Genomic DNA, 2,207 nt, shown 5'->3' with positions numbered 1-2,207 from the left:
CAGTTTGTGAAAAGAAGAACTAGGGGATAGAGTGAATGTGAGAAGATCTATGTTGCCGAGGGAGATACACGTTATGAAAGAATAGATGAAGAATGATATATGAACTTGAGAGAATTGGCACACTTGTGTTGGTTTCACCATGTGTGGTGATAGAATCAACTAACTTGAAGTCCGAGTCACTAACTTGGTAGACTTGATTTATATGTGAGATTATTCAAATGGTGCCATTCTACAGGACTGATTGTGGGAAACTGAACTAAAAGGCAAGAGGGAGGAATGCATAGTTGGTAGCCTATAAATAAAGGAACAAGAAGGGGCTGGAATTAGCTTACAGCTTGTTTACAACCTCCCTTGGAAGGATGTGGCATAACAGACCCAAGCATCAGGAGCTGGGATAATGAGGAAAACAACTGAGGTTTGAAACAGTGTCCCACTTCTCGTATTCCTGTGTGGTGTGTGCTACGCTGACAAAGAGTGGGGATTTTCTGATTTTGTCTGCCACGCTGACCTTTACCATGTTTATTTTTCAGTTGGTTTGGGGAAGGCGTTTGAACTCTGTGGTATGAGCAAGTTCACTCCTCCTCCACTTTCCTTTTTTCTCCCCTCTTGCCCAAAACGGTTTGCTGAGTGACAAATAAACACAAGTTGTTTTTACAGGTGTAAAACCAACAGATCAAATGCTGGCCTGTGCCTGGGCTTGTGAATGGGGACTGTGTTATGTTTGGAGAATACCACCGCATCATTTACACTTGCAAACCCTTTGTAATCTTAATCTCTTTGTTGCTTTTATGTTATACTGGCCCCCCAAGGTTAAAGAAAGAGATTTAGACCTTAAACACAAATCCAGCCTTCAAGCTCTGGAATTATCTTTGCCTTTAAATGCAGCTGATCAATGCCCATTTCTTTTGAAAATAAAACCCTTTTGAACCTTGAAAGCCTTCCACTGTTGAGCTATGCCTAAGTGCCACATGGGGGAATGGGCAGAAAAGAGCCCATTTTTCCCTTAGTGCTTGCATTAGGGGTCCCAGAGTTCAGTCCGACGCAATCAATTTAATTGGCGCTAGCTCTGGTGACAAATTATGCTGGTTTACACTCCAGTGTAGCAGAGATTCCTCAAACGCAGGGGAAGAAGGGAGATACACTTCTTGGTCTCTACTTAAAGAGGGCAACAGTATTGGAAAAGGAGCACATTTAATTTATCACTGTCAGAGCAGGTGCAAAGTTTAATTCTAACTAAAAGCATTAAACAATTAACCCAGACAGTCAGGCCTTCTGAAAATGCTCAGTAGCAGGGAACACACGGACCAGATTACCAATGGAAACGTCAATGCTTCTCTTTTATTCCGCTGAATATCTTCCTGCACTTTTTTTTAAACAAAGAAAAGTCCCAGAAATACAATAACTTCTCAAGTCTTTTGGTAGATGTCTGAATTGAAAGGGTCAGATAGGACATCACCCTACACTCAAAGATCAACAAATAACTGTCCCTTGAGCCCTTGTTGATTAGCTGTGAGAAGAGAAATAAGTCATTTGATTTGGAAGCTTCCATAAGCTGGTTGCTCACCTTTTTTATGGTGAAGTATATTACCATGCAATATCTATTCCACTAATTTGAATTATTCTGCAGTATCCAAATCCCTGGTGATCATCTGTTATTGTGGGGTGGGGGTGTGGACAAGGGAATGAACCAGGAGATAAGAACTCAGATAGCAATGAAATCCAATTAGACATAGAGATGAACCCTGCTTCACAGATACTTAGTATGTTTTCTTTCTTTGGTTGTTGCACTGACCAGATAATCATTGAATTTTAGAGCTGTAAGGCCCTTGGAGAACTTTGAGGCTTAGCCTAAAGGATTTCATTGTGAGAACATCGAGGCCTGCAGACAGGAAGTTTCTGCTCAATGTTATGTTGTTTCTGCAAAGCTCTCACTATGGGCCAACTCTTCTGACTTGGTGCAGGCAGTTTAAGAAAAGATTATGGGCTTTTGAAACTGTCAGACCTGCCTTTGAATTGTGACTGTGCTTGCTTCGTACTTGACATCTTAGCGTGTACACTGGATGTTGATACACTCCTTGCGAGGTAATTCGAGTAACTCATCCAGCCCAGTATGTGGCACCTACAGCCTTCATCTTGTGTTGGTTCCTGCCTCTGTCTATCCAGGTGCTCAGATTAACTGAGACGCTATAGGTAAAGCACCTGGTCCA

General features: G+C 41.9%; 1 annotated feature.

The window, feature by feature from the left end:
• Positions 434-1,522: an enhancer, noted in NCBI's record as "VISTA enhancer hs779". NCBI's record gives its function as "enhancer in: midbrain (mesencephalon)[8/9] | forebrain[5/9]" and the evidence as "EXISTENCE:transgenic organism evidence [ECO:0001131][PMID:17130149]".

This window comes from Homo sapiens, chromosome 2 (genome assembly GCF_000001405.40).
Source record: "Homo sapiens chromosome 2, GRCh38.p14 Primary Assembly".
Lineage (NCBI taxonomy): Eukaryota > Metazoa > Chordata > Mammalia > Primates > Hominidae > Homo > Homo sapiens.
Note: the sequence above shows the minus strand (reverse complement) of the source record. Positions and strands in the feature narration are given on the sequence as shown.